This window comes from Homo sapiens, chromosome 19 (genome assembly GCF_000001405.40).
Source record: "Homo sapiens chromosome 19, GRCh38.p14 Primary Assembly".
Taxonomy (NCBI): domain Eukaryota; kingdom Metazoa; phylum Chordata; class Mammalia; order Primates; family Hominidae; genus Homo; species Homo sapiens.
In genome coordinates, this window is record NC_000019.10 from 2,488,058 (window position 1) to 2,507,292 (window position 19,235).

Here is a 19,235-nt window from a genome sequence, read left to right on the forward strand (position 1 = left end):
CAGCCCCCACCCCAGAGCCTGGAGCATGCTCCCCGGACATGTAGGTCACGCGACCCACAGCTTTACAGATCCCTAGGGATCCAGGAGGGACCCCCGAGACCCAGAACGACCCATAGCCACACAGTGGGAAGGCCAAGGACCTGCTCCCCAGGACGCTGGGCCAGGGAGACCGCAGGCACACGGGACAGCCACACCAGAGCTGCATCTGGAGAAGGGGTGGGGGGTTTCCTCTCGCCGCTCCTCGCTATTCTTTCCCTACATTGTTCCGTTCCGTGCTCCCAGTTCCCACCCCACTCCCTCCACCCGGACGCCGGCGGTTCCCAGGCCCCGGAGCCGGGGTGCATTGGGGGTGGGGGTGGGGTAGAGTGAGGGGCCTCGTGAAGAGCGCTGCGGGCCAAGACCCTCTTGCGCATGTGACGAGAGCGCACGAGTGTGGGAGCTTCGGCCTGCGCTCACAGGCGTGTGCGTGGGGAAGTGTTTGGGCCGCCGTGTACACAGCAGGCACGCCATAAACGCTTCTTGGATGGCTCCATGCGAGGGAAGGGAGGGAGGGCAGAGTTCAGGCCCTACAGGGAGGAAAAGGGAGGGGCGGAGGCCTGGCTTTAGGTTTGAATCTCCGCGGCTTACTAGCTCCAGCAGCTCAGCAAAAGCGTGACTCAGTTTCCCTCGTCCATAAAAGGGAAAGCCGAATCGCCCTCCCACGTGTCGAGGTGAAACTAGACAGTGCACTAAGGCACTTAGCAAAACGCGCTGCCTTGAGAACCCTTATTACGCCTTCCTTCCTTCCACCTCACCCCCTGGCCAGACACTCTGGGGGTGGAGAGGGGCGCTGACCCAGGCCCCAGACGCCCCTCCCGTCCGCCCTCCCTAGCAGGCAGGAGTCCCGGCTTTCCCGTTCCTTAAATTGGATAATTGGAGACAGAGGCGGGTGCTCGAGACGGAGAAATCCCCAAGTGGGCGAAAGGCAAGGGGCCTGTCCTAGTTTCCCTGCACTGGGGGCCCCCACCCTCGCCAGCGCTCCCTCCGGTGCGCCCTGGGCGCGCAGTCTGTGCGCTCGGGAGCCCCCAGCGCCGGCTGTCGACCCCCTCCAGAGCCCGGCGGTGCCAGCCTCCCTCTGTTGCCCGCCAGGCGCGGTGTCTGCGGCCGCCCCGGCAGGAGGGGTTGGGGGGTCCGGGCCGGCGGCAGCTCCGGCGGCGTCTCCCTCCTCCAAGCCCCTGGCGGCGGGCGGCCGGGCCGAGGGCGGGGCGTCTGCACAGACCCTCCTTTTGTGAGCGGCGCCTTCCCCGGGCGGCCTGGCGCGCAGGGCTCGGGCACTGCGCCAGGGCCCGGAATAGCCTCCCTGCCCGGCCGCCCGCCCCACGCCCCGGCGGAGCCGCCTGACCTGCCCGGTCGGGCGCAGAAGAGCCTGGGGCCGCGGTGGCACAGGAACCGGGTGCGTGCTCAGCTGCACGGGGCTGCAGCCGCTACTCTCCGCTGGGCCGGCACTGGACGCGTGCAGCCGGGCCTACTGTGCGCAGCCCGTCTTTTGTGTGAAAACGCCCGCTGTGTGCAGATCTCCGTCTTCGTGCAGGGCCTACTGTGCGCCGCACCCCCCTTCCATGCAAAGCCTACTGTGTGCAGAACCCCATTTGCCTGCAATGCCTACTGTGTGCGGCCCCTCTCCTGCGTGCAAACGCCTGCTGTGTGTGACCCTTTTCTTGCATGCAAGGCCTACTGTGTGCAGAGCCCTACCTTCTTGCAGTGCCTACAGGGTGCAGCCCCTCTCCTGCGTGCAGACGTCCACTGTGTGCAGATCGCTGTCTTCGCGCTGGGCTTACTGTATGCAGCACCTCTCTTCCATGCAAAGCCCACTGTGTGCAGAGCCCCACCTGGCCGCAATGCCTACTGCGTGCAGACACCCAGATACATACAAAACCGACTGTGTGCAGGCATCCACCTACATGCAAACACCTGCACCTGCACTCGTGCAAACACCCACCGTGCACAGGCACCCACTGACAAACATTCATGTGAGGAGCCCCCAAGCTCCCACACTCCCAAACGGCCTTGTCTTTTTGTCTTTTTTTTTTTTTTTTTTTTTTTTTAAGATGGAATCTTGCTCTGTCGCCCAGGCTGGGGTGCAGTGGCACGATCTCAACTCACTGCATCCTCCCCCTCCCAGGCTCAAGCGATTCTCCTGTCTCAGCCTCCTGAGTAGCTGGGACTACAGGCGCGCGCCACCACGCCCAGCTTGTATTGTATTTTTAGTTTTGTATTTTTAGCAGAGATGGGGTTTCACCATGTTGGCCAGGCTGGTCTTGAACTCCTGACCTCAGGTGATCCACTTGCCTCGGCCTCCCAAAGTGCTGGGATTACAGGGGTGAGCCACCGTGCCCAGCCTCATTTTTTTTTTTTTTTTTTTGAGATGAAGTCTCGCTCTTGTGCCCCAGGCTGGAGTGCAATGGCGCAATCTCAGCTCACTGTAACCTCCACCTCCTGGGTTCAAGAAATTCTTCTGCCTCAGCCTCCCGAGTAGCTGGGATTACAGGCACCTGCCACCACGCCCGGCTAATTTTTGTATTTTTAATAGAGACGGCATTTCACCATGTTGGCCAGGCTGGTCTCGAACTCCTGACCTCAGGTGATCTGCCTGTCTCAGCCTCCCAAACTGCTGGGATTACAGGCATGTGAGCCATGGTGCCCGGCACAAACAGCCTTGTCCATGCAAGCACAAGCACCCACATGTGTCTAAGACCCTGGTGTGCACACCTGCACTCTGACCTGCACTGCGTGTTCCCACTAGGGAAATGCAAATATTTCTAAGCTCCAATGCTCACTCCACAGAGCCCCGAGGCCTGTGAATACCCGCGGTATACAGAGATCCATGAGGTGCCAGTACTCAAACTGTGGAAGCCTGCACGTGCTGATTTGGGGTGGGAGTAGAGTGCAGGGAACTCATCTGTGTGCAGCCCCTTTCTCTGGGCCCTTTGTGTGCACCTCAGTTTACCCCACCTGGGTAAGAGACTCTGCCCTGCTGGAGTCTCTTCTGGTTCTGACTTTGAAGGGCTCCAAGGTGTGGGGGGAAAGGGGGCTGCATTCCCTCTCTGCTGTGTGCCTCTGGGTGGTGGATTCAGGCTAGCAGGGCTGGGGGCTGGGCCTCCAGGCCCTTCCCGGAAGCCCGGGAAGCAGGTGCAAGGGTAGGCAGTCTCCACGGGCAGGGCGCCAGACCTTGGCTTCCCTGAAACTGGGCACAGCAGCTGGGAGAGGTTTCCGGGCCCGCCTGGCCCCACCTGGCCCCTGGCACTTTCGGAAGATGGGCGGGGCAGGCAGGCAATGCCAAGGACGGGCGAGGCCCAGCCTGCACAAGAGTCGCCGGTGAACCTGTGCGCACACACGGGTGTGCATGTATATGTGTGCACACGTGCATGGGCCATGCTGATGTGAGTTCTGTACCCCACCTACAAACGGGTGTGCTCATGAACACGTGCAGGGTCACCCTGGCACATGAACCGTGCAGCACAGGCAATGGCCCAGCGGTAATTCACCCATAGCGGTGACAGGAAAGAGATGCTTGTCTGCTTTGCTCACTGTGCGTCTCCAGCACCCCACAGCTGGTTGGCACTTGGTGAATATTTGCTGAGTGGACAAATGAGTGAATACACGAACACATCATTTTGCAAATATGTACTGAATGTCTCTACTCTGCATACCAGACATTTGCACATCTTCAAACAACAAAAAGATCCTGGGAAACGACATTCTAGACATCCACGGGGTGGGAATAAGCCCACGCCTGAGAGTACACACTCATGTCCAGGAAACACCTGAGTCCACTTTGATTTGTTCACCTCCAGAAGCCAGAGCCTGGTGCCCACACACAGGCCCTCATGCAGAGACACGCATTTTCTTTCTTTTTTTTCTTTCTTTCTTTTTTTTTTTGAGATGGAGTTTTGCTCAGTTGCCCGGGCTGGAGTGCAGTGGCGCGATCTCGGCCCACTGCAAGCTCCGCCTCCCGGGCTCACGCCACTCTCCTGCCTCAGCCTCCCGAGTAGCTGGGACTACAGGCGCCTGCCACCACGCCTGGCTAATTTTTCATATTTTTTTAGTAGAGACGGGGTTTCACCTTGTTAGCCAGGATGGTCTCGATCTCCTGACCTTGTGATCTGCCCACCTCGGTCTCCCAAAGTGCTGGGATTACAGGCGTGAGCCACTGCGCCCGGCCGCATTTTATTTTTTCTTTTCTTTCTTTCTTTTTTTTTTTTGAGATGGAGTCTCGCTCCATCGCCCAGGCTGGAGTGCAATGGTGTGATCTCGGCTCACCGCAAACTCCGCCTCCGGCTTCAAGTGATTCTCCCACCTCAGCCTCCCGAGTAGCTGGGATTACAGGTGCATGCCACCACATCTGGCTAATTTTTGTATTTTTAGTAGAGACAGGGTTTCACCTTGTTGGTCAGGCTGGTCTTGAACCCCTGACCTCAAGTGATCTGCCCACCTTGGCCTCCTAAAGTGCTGGGATAACAGACGTCAGCCACCGTGCCCGGCCAGGATTTTGGACACACAAATATCCCCTCTCTTCCCCTGCAAGCCTACCTGTGCTACCCACCCCAGCCATCCCCTCCTGAGGTGTCTGTCCTTCCATGCCTGAAGGGGTTCATGGGAGTGTGGGGAGTCCTACACCCCACCTGTGATTTTCCATCATTTGAGTTCTCCTATGGCTCAGACCATTGCCTGCAGGAAGCTCCAGAAACAGCCAGGGTTGGTGGGATTAGAACTGCACAGGTGGGGAGGTGATGCCCATATACCCTAAGAAACTATCCTTCCATTTCACAGCCGGAGAAACCGAGGCCCAGAGACAGGAAGGTCTTCTTGTTGAGCTAAGAAGAGAAATAGAGGGATGATAAACGGATGCCCTGACTGGGCCCCCTCAACCATCTCCTCTTGCAGCCAGAAACAGTAGGTTCCTACCGCCAACAAGGGTGGGGACAGGAAGGTGGGGGACCAGGGTGGGAGGAGGAGATGGGAGTGAGGCCCTGGGGGGAGGTGGAGCCTATGTCCTGGAGACAGACACAGAGGTGGGCGGTCCGGAGACACCCACCTCCTCAGACAGGCACGGGCTCTGGCAGCTGGTGACAGAGACACAATCTGGGGCACATAGGCACTGTCTGTCCCTCCTGCCGCCGATCTTCCTCCCCAGCCTCTGATGGGGATTCTAGGGGCTGCTGGGGCCCCTGCAATTGTTTTGGCATGAGTGTGCATACCTGTGTGTTTGTGTGTTGGGTGCACATGCTTTATTTTTATTTTCATTTTATTTATTCCATTTCATTTCATTTATTTCATTTCATTTCATTTTTTGAGACTGAGTCGTGTTCTGTCACCCAGGCTGGAGTGCAGTGGCACTATCTCAACTCATTGCAACCTCCGCCTCCCAGGTTCAAGCGATTCTCCTGCTTCAGCCTCCGGAGTAGCTGGGACTACAGGTGCCCACCACCATGGCCGGCTAATTTTTTGTATTTTTAGTAGAGATGAGGTTTCACCACGCTGATCAGGCTGGTCTCAAACACCTGACCTCAAGTGATCCGCCCACCTGGGCCTCCCAAAGTGCTGGGATTACAGGCATAAACCACCGCGCCCGGCCTCACTGAGCATGTTTTGAAGGCGAGTGCGTTCCTCTTGACTGCTGAACTTTCATTCTATGAACCGACCTCCGTTGACCTGTTCCCCTCTGAATGGAGGGGTATTTGAGCTCTTCCCAGGTTTTGGTGATGAGGAACAAAGCTGCTACGTGCATTTACCTCCTGGTCTCTGTGTGCTCCTAAGTTGTGTATTTCTTTCAGATAGTACCAAGAGAAGTGAGGTTGCTGGGTCCCCGTAACCTTATAGGGTAAATACTATTATTACATCCACTTTGTTGATCGGGAGAATAGACGCCGCCAGGCCTCCTGTCTCTCGCTTTCACACAAAGGCACATACGGCAGACACGGACCCCCATCACTCATCCATCACTTTCCCATCACTCACCGCAGACCCTCCAGGACCCACGCAGAAACCCAGGGCTCCCCCACGGTGCACGCAGCACCCAGGCTGCCCGCCCTCCACCCAGGGCCGCGTCACGCCCGACACCCCCGGAACAGACGCCTATGAGGCCTGCAGCTCCAGACGGGCTGCAGACACACAGCGATTTGTTCATCTTTCCAGCCACCCCGTCTGGTCCTGACAGTAATTAGCTCCCAGACTGGTGGGGAGACGGTGAACAGCCTGAGAGTCATCGCCCACGGCTCCACGCCCACAGGCCACGGGCACCGGGAGAGAGGGTGAATGAGTGTGTGTGTGTGTGTGAGTGTGTGTGTCCGGAATCTGTACTCTCCAGCCAGGGCTCCCCATCCTCCTGCAAAGGGCCAGCACCGTGCACGGGTACCCACGGCGCCTTCCAAGGGGAACGTGCACAGGCATACCCACTGTTCATTCCACGAAGGATCGTGCACACGCATGCCTACCTTTGCATTTCACGCGGGATTGTGCACACGCATGTCCACCGTGCCTTCCACGCGGGATCGTGCACACGCATGTCCACGAACTCCTGCACACCTACACCCACCAGGCCTGCCCATGCGATGCGTCCCTGCAGACCCACTGTGGACGCCTGCTTGTCGGCGTCCTGCGCATCCCGCGTGAGTGGAGTGTGCACTCGTGGAGGGGGCGACTGAGTGCGGGGCAAGCGCAAGCGCAAGCACACTGGGCTCGCGGAGGGTGGAGAGAGGCCGTGCGCGTTCCCGGGGCTGGCGCGGAGGTGGGGTCAGCGGCGCGGGAGAACGCCCCGCCCCGCTACCGCCAGCCCGGAAGACCCACGGCGGCGGGCGCTGGCGTCACGGGTTTCCACTGGGGCCCCGGCGCCGGGGCCGGGATTCCCTGGCGCAGGAACGCCCGTGACGGCGGCGCCTGCCTGCGTCGGCCACGCTGGGAGGTTTGAGCCTGGGGATGACATCAGCCCCTGCGTTTCTGGAGCTGGCCCGGGCGGGACGGGGACTTGGAGAAAGCAGTGACACCCACTTTCGTTGACTGCCAACCCGTGCAGAGCGCTTAGTGCGTGTCCGACCGTGAGCTGAGCGCTGTGATGCGGGTGCTGTTAATGTCCCATTGCACAGATGGGGAAACTGAGGCCGGCGCACTGCCCGCCCCGCCGGGCCCCCAGAGTGAGGGCCCGGGGCTGGGAGCAGCCTTTTCCCAGCGCCCTCTGCAGTGTAGAGTCCCACCAGCTTGTCTCCCGCTCTCTCCTGCACAAGCCGGCTCAGAGAGGGTCTGCGGGTGTCCTGGCACCACCCAGCAAGTTGGGTGCTGCAGCCAGCTCTGTCCATACAGTTGGTCTCTGCCCAGCTGCGGTGGCCAGGGGCGGTGCCTGAGCCAGGGCGCCCGGGCGGCCCGGTGGGGTGTGCCCAGCCGCTGCCTTCCTGCTGACGCCGGTGCCAAGGGATCTAAATATAGCCTGGGAGGAGGCAAGGGCTATTTTTAACGCGAGTGGCTTGGCCCCTCCCAGTTCCCGGGTCAGGAGCCCTTTGGTCCAGGATTTTGGGGAGGGGCAGGGGCGAGGGGGAGCCAGGGGCCCCACACCCGCCTGGGCCTGCCCCTCTGCCCACACCTGGCCCTGGAAGACTCTAGGGGACGAAGGGCCGTAGAGGGAGGGCAGGGTGGGGGGGCTGTCGCAGGTCACCTTTCTTAAACGCCACCTCCTCTCTAGCTGCCGACCAGCCCTGGCCTTTTGTTGGGCCCAGAGACTGCTTTCTATTTTGGGAAGGTGTTGGAATAATTTCCTTGGCTATTTTTAGCCGGTTCGGGGATTCCTCCACTCAGGCTGGCCGCCCTGCCTCTCCTCCTCCTCCTCCTCCTCCTAGTCGTCTTCCTCCTCCCGGCAGACCCAAGGGCGGCCTCCTTCATGGAGGGCAGTCAGGGACACACAGTCCCTGAGCCAGACCCAGAATGGGGAGACCCCTATATTTCCTGGGTCGGGGAGGGAAGGGAGCTCTGAAGGGCGTTCCCACGTTCCAGGTGAGCAGGACTTTCAGACCTCTGGGAATCCATGACGCCAGGTATCTGAATTCTGTCTCCAGGGCAGGGTGGGGCGACCCAGCAGCCTCTGACCTTTCACCTCCTTTCAGGGTTGTCACAGGAAAGTGGCCTGCTGAGAACAGACCTTGACTCCCACATCCCTAGGCTAGGGGCTCCCATGTTCCCAAGAGGAAGATCAGTGTGATGAGGGTAAACTGAGGCACAGAGGGGACACTGGGATGGGACACATCTTGGGCTCATTCCCTGATGGTTTCATTTCCTTCCACATTCTACCTTTGTTTTTAATTTTTTTTTTTGATTGTTTTGAGACAAGACGGAGTCTCACTCTGTCACCCAGGCTGGAAGAGTATGCAGTGGCACAATCTCGGCTCTCTGCAACCTCTGTCCTCTGGGTTCAAGCGATTCTCCAGCTTCAGCCCCCTGAGTAGCTGGGATTACAGGTGCACGCCACCATGCCCAGCTAAGTTTTGTATTTTTAGTAGAGACGGGGTTTCACCATGTTGGCCAGGCTGGTCTCGAACTCCTGACCGCAGGTGATCCACCTGCCTCTCCTCCCAGAGTGATAGGATTACATGCGTGAGCCACTGTGCCTGGCAGCAGCGCCGTCATAGCTTATGGCAGCCTTGACTTCCTGGGCTCAAGTGATGCCCCCAACTCAGCCTCCTGAGTAGTGAGGCCTATATAGGCATGTACCACGATGACTGGCTAATTTTTGAAAATTTTTACTAGAGATGGGGTCTCTCTGTGTTGCCCAGGCTGGTCTTGAACTCCTGGGCTCAAGTGATCCTTCCACCTTGGCCTCCCAAAGTGCTGGGATTCCAGGCGTGAGCCACCGGGACCAGCCCTCATGCTGCCTTTTAACAGCTAAGCAACCTTGGGGCGATGACTTCACCTCTATGTGCCTCTTTCAGGAAAGGGGGTGACAGTCACATGGACTAATGGTAAATAGGTGAGGGAATATATGAAAGGTCTTAGAACAAGCTCCTGGCAGAATGGAGCTGAGGGTCCTGGAAAGGACGCTGGGATATGGCTGGCTGCAGGACAGAGGAACATCCCGGGTGCTGGCTGGTTCCACATTTTGAGAGGACACACCCCCTTACTTATCCCAGTCCGTGAGGCTGGCGAGAGTGACCCCGGCGTTTCAGATCAGGAAACTGAGACCCTGGGATAATTTCCCAGGCCCAGGGTCTCATGACAGCTGACACACAGGAGGCCAGCACAGTCCCCTGGCTCCCCCGGGCCGTATTCCACAGCTGCTCCGCATTCTTTCACCGGTGCCCTCACTCATGCAGCAAGCATTTGTGAGCACCGTATGAGTTTCCTCCCGCTGCTGTAACAAATCACTGCCAACCCAGTGGCTGGAAACAACACAGAGTTATTATCTGACAAGTCTGGAGGCCAGGAATCCAAAATCAGTCTCCCTGGGCTCCAAATCAAGCTGTGAGCAGGGCTGGGCCCTCCTGGAGGATCCAGGGGAGAACCTGGCTTCCACGTTTGCCAGCATTTAGAGGCAGCTGCTTCCCTCAGCTTGGGGCCTCTTCCTCCACGTTCATGGCTGGCCGTGCAGCCTCTTCCAGTCTCTGACTCTCACCTCCCACCACCTCTTATTTATTATTATTATTATTATTATTATTATTAATTTTAGTGGAGTTTTGCTCTTTTTGCCCAGGCTGGAGTGCGATGGTGCCATCTTGGCTCACTGCAACCTCCACCTCCCGGGCTCAAGTGATTCTCCTGCCTCAGCCTCCCGAGTAGCTGGGATTACAGGCATGCGCCACCACGCCCAGCTAATTTTGTATTTTTAGTAGAGATGGGGTTTCTCCATATTGGCCGGGCTGGTCTCGAACTCTTGATCTCAGGTGATCTGCCTGTCCTGGCCTCCCAAAGTGCTGGGATTACAGGCATAAGCCACTGCACCTGGTTGTTTGTTTGTTTTAAGAAAAATCTTTTTCACTGTGCAAGTTGATTTTTTTTTTTTTAAGAGATAGGGTCTTGCTCCATAGCCCAGGCCGGAGTGCAGTGATGCAATCATAGCTCACTGAAGCTGCAAACTCCTGGGCTCAAGGAATCCTCCCACCTCAGCCTCCCGAGTAGCTGGGACCACAGGCACTCACCACCATGTCTGGCTAATTTTTTAAAATTATTTTTTGTAGAGTCGGGGTCTTGCTATGTTGCCCAGACTGGTCTCCAAATCCTGAGCTCAAGTGATCCTCATGTCTTGGCCTCCCAAAGTGCTGGGATTACAGGCGTGAGCCACCACGCCTGGCCCGCAAGTTGATTTTTTATGAGTATATTGCTTCTCTCCAAGGGCGGATGGCCTGACCGGGATAAGACCCGTGAACAGATAGTAAATGTGGGTTTGGCATTTGGCAGGAAATGCTTGTGGAATTCAGGAGGCAACTGTCATTTATCTGTCCTGTATGCCAGCTGGATATCAAGTACATTTCTGTATCTTAAGACCATCAGCCAGTTTTATTTATTGGATGCTTATTAAGTACTTAATGCCAATTTAATATCTTCACAGCCACCTTAGTGCTAATAATCATCCTCACCTTACAGATGAGGAAACTGACATGGAGCCATGACTTGTCGAAAGTCCCCGGCCGGGCGTGGTGGCTCACGCCTGTAATCCCAGCACTTTGGGAGGCTGAGGTGGGTGGATCATCTGAGGTTAGGAGATTGAGACCATCCTGGCTAACACGGTGAAACCCCGTCTCTACTAAAAATACAAAAAATAAGCCGGGCGTGGTGGCGGGCGCCTGTAGTCCCAGCTACTCGGGAGGCTGAGGCAGGAGAATGGCGTGAACCCGGGAGGCAGAACTTGCAGTGAGCCGAGATCGCGCCACTGCACTCCAGTCTGGGCAACAGAGAGACTCCGTTTCAAAAAAACAAAGAAAGAAAGTCCCTCAGCCAAGTTGGTGGCAGAAGCTACCCAGCCGGTTCTGTTTCCATTTGGCCTTGCTGCTGCCTCTTGCTTGAATGCTTTCAGGGACCATGCAGGCACACTCCTCAGCTATCCCCTTGTTCTGGTCCTCCAGCAACAGTCTTGGGAAGTTAGTGGGTTCCACAATCCTGAGCCCAAGCTCAGTGCAGCTCTCCCACCCTCAGGTGTCTTCTGCAAACAAAGGACCTCCCAGAGCCCACGGAGGGGGAATGTTTCGAAAGTGTGCTGGCCAGGAAAGAGACCAGACGTGAACCACACTTCCTCCCTCCCTCTGCTCCAGATGTCTGCACCAGAGGTGGTCGGGAGGAGGCTGCCAGATAGACAAGACAACAGGAGCGTTGGAAAAGGGCGGCTTCCACTACTACCTCCCAATGTGGGGATGTGACTGGAAGAGCAGCTCCATGACCCAAGGATGGGACTTTGGCTTTCTTTTATCCCCAAGCCAGCCCGTGACATGCCTTCTGCTAGATGGATGGCTGTCTGCAGCTCTGACCCTGTAGTTTTGCGCAGATTATCTGTCCCATGAAACGTTTAGACTCTGGCCTGAGAATTCCTCCTTTCGTCTTCTTTTTTTTTTTTTTTTTTTTTGAGACGGAGTCTCGCTCTGTTGCCCAGGCTGGAGTGCAGTGGCGCGATCTCAGCTCACTGCAACCCCCCGCCCCCCAGGTTCAAGCAATTCTCCTGCCTCAGCCTCCTGAGTAGCTGGGATTACAGGCACGTGCAAGCATGCCTGGCTAATTTTTTGTATTTTTTAGTAGAGACAGGGTTTCATCGTGTTAGCCAGGATGGTCCCGATCTCCTGACCTCGTGATCCGCCTGCCTCGGCCTCCCAAAGTGTTGAGATTACAGGCGTGAGCCACCGCGCCTGGCTGAGAATTCTTCCTTTCTAGAGGCCACTGCATGTGGCCTTCGAGGGGAGGGGTCGTGGGACAGGAGTAGTTACCAAAGGCAGAACCCTTTTAGATTCCCCTGATTCTCACAGAGTGGGCTGGAGGCACGTAAACCACCTGATAATGCAAGCCGGGTTTTCCTGAATGTTCTCTGGAGTAGGTCGCTCATCCTAGGTGAAAGCAGATCTTTTCCCTAGGATCTGAGGCTTTAGACGCAGGAATTGTCACTGCCATTTGCTCCAGAATCCCAGTGCTGCTCCGACTGTAATTGCTCATTTTACTGATCAATTGAGACAGACAAATGCAGTTAGAAGACACAGGGATGACCTCTGGAAGGTCCAAGGGACCAGAGTGAATGTTGTCGCCAAAGATCCTGTAAGTGAGAGGCGGAGCCGGGGCCGAGACTGGACACCTGTCAGCAAGCTCATTCCCCCAACGACACCCTGGCCTGTCTTGGCGTACGCTGGCAGTCTGCGTTCTGAACAGGGGAGATGTTTCTTTCTCAACCTTGGCTTGGAGTTCTCCCCAGAGTGATAAATGTTGGCGAGAAAGAGCGGCACATTCTTTTTTTTTTTTTTTTTTAGACAGAGTTTCACTCTTGTCGCCCAGGCTGGAGTGCCACGGTGCGATCTTGGCTCACCACAACCTCCGCCTCCCGGGTTCAAGCGATTCTTCTTCCTCAGCCTCCCGAGTAGCTGGGATTACAGGCATGAGCCACCACGCCCGGCTAATTTTGTATTTTTAGTAGAGACGGGGTTTCTCCGTGTGGGTCAGGCTGGTCTCAAACTCCTGACCACAGGTGATCCGCCCGCCTCAGCCTCCCACAGTGCTGGGATTACAGGCTTGAGCCACTGCGTCCGGCCAGGAGTGGCACATTCTTAGGGCCGGCTCACCCGTGAGGCCCTACATCACTCTTTCCACTGTAAACCCTGTGGTGGCTGCTACAGATCAGCCACAAGTGCAGAAAGCGCTGAACCCGACGCGGCCACCCAGGGGGAGCCCCCATCCCGGAGACTTTGCTGTGCCCTCCCAGGCCCCTCGTGGGATTTTTTCTCTTTTCTTTGGATCCCTGGCGGGGGTCGGAGAGGGTGTGGGAGGGCGCAGAATAAACCCTGAGCCTGCCTCATTGGCTGCCTGGGCTCCAGAGCCCTGCCGTTGCTTGTGGAGGACTTTCTGGGAATCACGTGGACTGGCCAGAAGGGCTGGGAACTGGAGAGCAGGCAAGGATTCTGGAAGAGGGGAGATCCCAGTGGGAGGGATTTGAGGCTGGCAGTGGGTCAGAGACAGAAGTCCAGATGGACAGGTTTAAAGTCTCTGCTTAAGGCGGGGCGTGGTGGCTCACGCCTGTAATTCCAGCACTTTGGCAGGCCAAGGCGGGTGGATCACTTGAGGTCAGGAGTTTGAGACCAGCCTGGGCAACATACTGAAACCCCGTCTCTACTAAAAATACAAAAATTAGTCAGGAGTGGTGGCGAGCGCCTGTAATCCCAGCTACTCAGGAGGCTGAGGCAAGAGAATCACTTGAACCCAGGAGGCGGAGGTTGCAGTGAGCCGAGATTGCGCCACTGCACTCCAGCCTGGGTGACAGAGTGAGACTCTGTCTCAAAAAAAATAAATAAAATAAATAAATAAAAATAAAAGTCTCTGCTTAGATAAGCACTATGCTTCTGCTGCCTGTAAATGGCTCTTTTACCCTTTCTTTAGCATGAAAACAAATTTTCTAATTATTATAAACAAAATGTGTGCAATGTGGAGGCTGGCTGTTGGTACTCATTATCCTTCTCTTGCTTGACGTCAAGTGAAAGATAAATTGTTGCCTCTGGCCCTTCCCAGGACCAAAGAGAAGGCACGACGTCAAATGCATCTCCTTGGATTTGGGAGGCAATGTATACTTAATTTGGGTGTGCTTCCCCGGCCTGGTTGAGGAGGCCATCGTGCCCTCCCTCCATCAGTCTGCGCTCTGTGGCATCTGTGGCGTGGACCCTTCTTTGCTTTGCAGAGGCAGAGTGTCTGCATTCGGCATCGTACCCAGCCCAGTCCAGAGTTTACAGTAGGGGTCACCCTTGGAGGTCTGTGTTCTGTGGGTTTTACCCAATGCATGAGGTTACATATCCACCATGACAGTGTCACATACAGTAATTTCACTGCTCCCCAAATCCTCTGTGCTCCACCTATTCACCCTTATCCCCGCTTCCTTCAACCTGGGTAACCCCTGATTTTTTTTTTTTTTTTTTTTTTTTGATGGAGTCTCATTCTGTCACCCAGGCTGGAGTACAGCAGTGCCATCTGGGCTCACTGCAACCTCCGCCTCCCGGGTTCGAGCGATTCTCCTGCCTCAGCCTCCCGAGTAGCTGGGATTACAGGCCTGCACCACCACATCCAGCTAATTTTGTATTTTCAGTAGAGACAGGGTTTCTCCATGTTGGTCAGGCTGGTCTCCAACTCCCGACCTCAGGTGATCCACCCGCCTCAGCCTCCCAAAGTGCTGGGATAACAGGCGTGAGCCACCACTGATGTTTTTACTCATGTATAGCTTTGCCTTTTGCGGAATCTTTTCTAGTTGGGATCGTAGCATGGAGGCTGTGAAGGCTGCAGCTTCTTTCACTTGTTTCCCGGTGTATTCCAGATTTCAGGAGTTATTCGTACAACTCGGCTTGTGACTTCACATCACTCCAGCCTCTTGTTTCTGTTGTTATGTCTCCTTCTCTGACTGACCTTCCTGCCACCCTCTTACAAGGACCCTGTGATGACATTGGGCCTACCTGGATAATCCAGACAAGATCTCTAATTTTTTTTTTTTTTTTGAGACAGAGTCTTGCTCTGTTGCCCAGGCTAGAGTACAGCGGCTCCATCTCGGCTCACTGCAACCTCTGCCTCCCGGGTTCAAGCCATTCTCCTGCCTCAGCCTCCCAAGTAGCTGGGACTAGAGGTGCCCGCCACCACGCCTGGCGAATTTTTTGTACTTTTTTTTAGTAAAGACGGGGTTTCACCGTGTTAGCCAGGATGGTCTCGATCTCCTGACCTCGTGATCCACCCGCCTTGGCCTCCCAAAGTGCTGGGATTACAGGCGTGAGCCACCCGCCTGGCAATTTTTAATTATTATTATTTCTTTTTTAAAAATATGAAATGCTTCATGTCATCCTTACGCAGGGGCAATACTAATCTTTGCATCCTTCCAACTTTTTGAATATGTGCTACTGAAGTGAGCATGTTATAAGGGTAAGGTTTTGTTTTTTTGTTTTTTTTTTTTAATTTTGAGATGGAGTTTTGCTCTTGTTGCAATGATGCGATCTCATCTCACTGCAATCTCTGCCTCCCAGGTTCAAGTGATTCTCCTGCCTTAGCCTCCTGAGTAGCTGGGATCACAGGCATGAGCCACCACGTCCAGCTAATTTTGTACTTCTAGTAGAGACGGGGTTTCGCCATGTTGGTTAGGCTGGTCTCGAACTCCTGACCTCAGGTGATCCACCCACCTTGGCCTCCCAAAGTGCTGGGATTACAGGCATGAACCACTGTACCCGGCCAGTAAAGGCTTTAAATGTTTAATGACTTCAATCTGTTGTGACTTTTTTTCTGTCCTAATAGCTTAAGCAAACCCCTTCTGGAATATCTGAAAAATATGTTGGTGGGTGTATGAGACAGGGCCGACTTCATGGGTGTGCGACTTGTGAGTCACCCAGGGCCCCATGATCAGAAGCGCTGTGTGGTCGGAAGGGCCCCACCCTTGGTTTAATGCTGCTGTCATTGTCTTGAAATTCTTAAACATTTTTGAAAAAGGGCCCTGTGTTTTCATTTTTTACTGAGCCCTGCACGTTACATGGCCGGTCCTGGTATGAGACCCTCTTATGCTCCCCTGCAGAGCCCCTCGACCTCACCCACTCACGGGCTAGCTCCGTCAGGTGTTGACGGATGTCACTCAGGTGTGAGCTCTGCACCTGAGCTCCCCCCTGCACACAGGCAGCCACAACCAGTCAGTGCAGAGGTGAGCCTGTGGCCAGTGAGGAGCCGGTGAGTCAACCTCCTCCCGCCTACGGGCCCTGAGACGCCGGCTCCGTGAGCTTGCGGGGTCGAGGGCGCCTATATTAAGCCAAGGCTGAGGCAGTGACACACCCTCTTATGGGCCTGCTCTCGCTCCCTGCTTCATTGTCCTGGTCTCTCCCTCTCGTATGGAGGATCAGACTGGACTCCCCCAGAAAACAAGAGCATATGAACCTTCTGTCTCAGGCTCTGCCTCTGGGGAGCCCAAGCTATGGTTGGCTGAATAGCAGCCGGCAAAGATGTCCTTGTTCTAATTCCGGGAGCACAGGGGTATGTCACCTTCCACGGCAACAGAGACTCTGCAGGTGCGATTGAGTGAAGGACTCTGAGATGGGAGAGCAGCCTGGATGATCTGGAGTCCCCAGTGTCCTCACAGGGTCCCTCATAAGAAAGACTAGAAGAGGCTGCGCTCCTGGCTGCGAAGGTGGAGGAAGGGGCCCCGAGCTGAGGGATGTGAGCCCCTCGACGCTGGGAAAGACGAGGAGTTGGATTCTTTTTTTTTTTTTTAATTTAAAATAATTTAATTTTAAGTCTGGGATACATGTGCAGATCTAAATGATAGTCTAGGAGAAAATATTTGCAACACCTATAACAGATCAGAATTCCCAAGCCTGCAGGTTTGTTACATAGGTAAACATGTGCCATGGTGGTTTGCTGCAATCAACCCGTCACCTAGGTATTAAGCCCCACATGTTGCTGGGCGCGGCGGCTCATGCCTGTAATCCCAGCACTTTGGGAGGCCGAGGTGGGTGGCTTGCTCGAGGTCAGGAGTTCGAGACCAGCCTGACCCACATGGTGAAACCCCGTCTCTACTAAAAATACAAAAATTAGCTGGGTGTGGTGGCGGACGCCTGTAATCCCAGCTACTCAGGAGGCTGAGGCAGGAGAATCACTTGAACCTGGGAAGCAGAGGTTGCAGTGAGCTGAGATTGCACCATTGCACTCCAGCCTGGGTGACAGAGCGAGACTCCGTCTCAAACAAACAAAAAGCCCCACGTACGTCAGCTCTTTATCCTGGAGCCCTCCCTCCCTTCCCCCTCACCTCACCCCCCAGCGGCCCCAGTGTGTGTTGTTCCCCTCCCTGTGTCCATGTGTTCTCAGTATTCAGCTCCCACTTATAAGTGAGAACATGTGGTGTTTGATTTTCTGTTCTGTGTTAGTTTGCTGAGGACAACGGCTTCCAGCTCCATCCATGTCCCTGCAAAGGACATGATCCCGTTCCTTTTTGTGGCTGCATAATATTCCATGCTGTGTATGTACAACATTTTTGTCTTTTGAGACAGAGTCTTGCTCTTGTCACCCAGGCTGGAGTGCAATGGCGGGATCTCAGCTCACTGCAACTTCCACCTCCCGGGTTCAAGCAATTCTCCTGCCTCAGCCTCCCGAGTAGCTGGGACTACAGGTGCCCACCACCACACTCAGCTAATTTTTTGTATTTTCAGTAGAAACAGGGTTTCACCGTGTTAGCCAGGATGGTCTCGATTTCCTGACCTCGCGATCCACCCTCCTCAGCCTCCCAAAGTGCTGGGATTACAGGCGTGAGCCACCGCGCCCAGCCAGGATGTATCATTTTAAATCTTAGTTTGTGGAACAGTTTTCTAACTAAGCATGTCACAAAACCTAGAGAATCAAGAAAGGAACATGTTGATGAGTTTTGTGTGCCAGACATAAAAATCTAAATGATAGTCTAGGAGAAAATATTTGCAACACTTGTAACAGACCAGAATTAACAAGCCTGCGTAAAAAGTGTCTTTCATCCCAAAGAAATACGCAAGTGATTTAATTAGGAAATAAACAGACTGGGTGCAGTGGCACACACCTGTAATCCCAGCACTTTAGGAGGCCAAGATAGGAGGATCACCTGAGCCCAGGAATTGGAGACCAGCCTGGGCAACACAGCAAGAACTCATCTTTAAAATTTTTTTTTAAATTAGCTGAGTGTGGTGGTGCTTCCATGTAGTCCCAGCTACTTGGGAGGCTGAGGTGGGAAGACTGCTTGAATTTGGGAGATCAAGGCTGCAGTGAGCTATGATAGCACCACTGGACTCCAGCCCGGGCGACAGAGCCAGCAGGCCCTGTCTCAAAAAAGAAAAAAAAAAAAAAAAGAAAAGAAAAGAAACAAAAAGTATGAATAGGCATTTTACATATGAGGGAATAAAAATGTCTCATAATTCTAGGGACCGGTACACACACATATGCTGGAATGCACACACACATCCAAGTGTGTGTACAGAAATTAATATGTAGGCTGGGTACGGTGGCTAATGCCTGTAATCCCAGCACTTTGGGAGGCTGAGGAAGGCGGATCACCTGAGGTCAGGAGTTCGAGACCAGCCTGACCAACATGGCGAAATCCCGTCTTTCCTAAAAATACAAAATTAGCTGGGCGTGGTGGGTGCATGCCTGTAATCCCAGCTAAATCCCAGCTACTCGGGAGGCTGAGGCAGGAGAATCACTTGAATCCGGGAGGTGGAGGTTGCAGTGAGCCGAGAACACGCCATTGCACTCTATCCTGGGCGGCAAGAGTGAAACTCCGTGTCAAAAAAAAAGAAAGAAAGAAACATGTTCATAAGGCACTTTATTGAAAGATAGTGTGTAAAAGTAGCAAAACTCAGAAATAATCTAAATGTCCATCAATAGTATATAATTTTTTTTTTTTTGAGATGGAGTCTCGCTCTGTTGCCCAGGCTGGAGTGCAGTGGCACAATCTTGGCTCACTGCAACCTCTGCCCCCCAGGTTCATTGCCTGCCTCATCTTCCTGAGTAGCTGGGATCACAGGTGCCTGCCACCATGCCTGGCTAATTTTTATTTTTTATTTTGGTATTTTTAGTAGAGACGGGGTTTCACCATGTTGACCAGGCTGGCCTTGAACTCCTGACCTCAGGTGATCCTCCCGCCTCGGCCTCTCAAAGTGCTGGGATTTCAGGTGTGAGCCACCGCGTCCGGCTAAGCATGTAAATTAAATTACTCTGGAGTTGTTAAAATGCACTGATTTTTAAAAAATTATTATTTTTATATCTTTTTTGTTTTCCTTCATAAAAATGCAATGACTTAGCAAGCTGTCGGTCATAGGAAGTTAAGCGAAAAAAAAAAAAAGCTAAGCCAGCCTCAGAGCAGTCTGTGTTGAGTGAGTCCAGTTTTAAAAACAAATGGCAAGTGTTGGTATGAAATAGTGCCGATCTCCATTACAGAAGACGGTCTTGGGCACATGTGCGGGAGCCCTACGGTCTGGCTGAAAATGCTGCCCAGTTCTGGCCGTACCACTTTCTAGCTGTGGACTCAAGGGAGTTGTTTACCTTCTGTCAGTCCATGTTTATTCATC

General features: G+C 54.4%; 1 long non-coding RNA gene and 1 pseudogene across 1 annotated transcript, besides 8 other annotated features; both read right to left on the minus strand.

Annotated features, from left to right (window-relative positions):
- Window positions 998-1,207: a silencer, noted in NCBI's record as "silent region_9797". NCBI's record gives its function as "represses an Ori minimal core promoter by ATAC-STARR-seq in GM12878 lymphoblastoid cells {active_cell/tissue: GM12878}" and the evidence as "EXISTENCE:reporter gene assay evidence [ECO:0000049][PMID:35858748]".
- Window positions 1,218-1,307: a silencer, noted in NCBI's record as "silent region_9798". NCBI's record gives its function as "represses an Ori minimal core promoter by ATAC-STARR-seq in GM12878 lymphoblastoid cells {active_cell/tissue: GM12878}" and the evidence as "EXISTENCE:reporter gene assay evidence [ECO:0000049][PMID:35858748]".
- Window positions 1,328-1,427: a silencer, noted in NCBI's record as "silent region_9799". NCBI's record gives its function as "represses an Ori minimal core promoter by ATAC-STARR-seq in GM12878 lymphoblastoid cells {active_cell/tissue: GM12878}" and the evidence as "EXISTENCE:reporter gene assay evidence [ECO:0000049][PMID:35858748]".
- Window positions 2,804-3,305: an enhancer, noted in NCBI's record as "H3K4me1 hESC enhancer chr19:2490859-2491360 (GRCh37/hg19 assembly coordinates)". NCBI's record gives its function as "activates a minimal SCP1, AML or CMV promoter by ChIP-STARR-seq in primed H9 embryonic stem cells {active_cell/tissue: H9 hESC(primed)}" and the evidence as "EXISTENCE:reporter gene assay evidence [ECO:0000049][PMID:30033119]".
- LOC124904614 (uncharacterized) lies at window positions 3,649-6,725 on the minus strand. Its single transcript, XR_007067090.1, has 2 exons — window positions 6,474-6,725; window positions 3,649-4,853 (listed from the first exon to the last, which is right to left on the minus strand). It is a non-coding gene; the product is annotated as an uncharacterized LOC124904614 (long non-coding RNA).
- Window positions 6,268-6,975: an enhancer, noted in NCBI's record as "H3K27ac-H3K4me1 hESC enhancer chr19:2494323-2495030 (GRCh37/hg19 assembly coordinates)". NCBI's record gives its function as "activates a minimal SCP1, AML or CMV promoter by ChIP-STARR-seq in naive H9 embryonic stem cells {active_cell/tissue: H9 hESC(naive)}" and the evidence as "EXISTENCE:reporter gene assay evidence [ECO:0000049][PMID:30033119]".
- Window positions 6,268-7,097: a biological region, named in NCBI's record as "H3K27ac-H3K4me1 hESC enhancer GRCh37_chr19:2494323-2495030".
- Window positions 6,634-6,928: an enhancer, noted in NCBI's record as "tiled region #4128; HepG2 Activating DNase unmatched - State 4:PromP, and K562 Activating DNase matched - State 4:PromP". NCBI's record gives its function as "activates a minimal TATA promoter and a strong SV40 promoter by Sharpr-MPRA in HepG2 and K562 cells {active_cell/tissue: HepG2 | K562}" and the evidence as "EXISTENCE:reporter gene assay evidence [ECO:0000049][PMID:27701403]".
- Window positions 6,718-7,097: a silencer, noted in NCBI's record as "silent region_9800". NCBI's record gives its function as "represses an Ori minimal core promoter by ATAC-STARR-seq in GM12878 lymphoblastoid cells {active_cell/tissue: GM12878}" and the evidence as "EXISTENCE:reporter gene assay evidence [ECO:0000049][PMID:35858748]".
- Window positions 14,990-15,084, minus strand: RNU6-993P (RNA, U6 small nuclear 993, pseudogene; annotated as a pseudogene).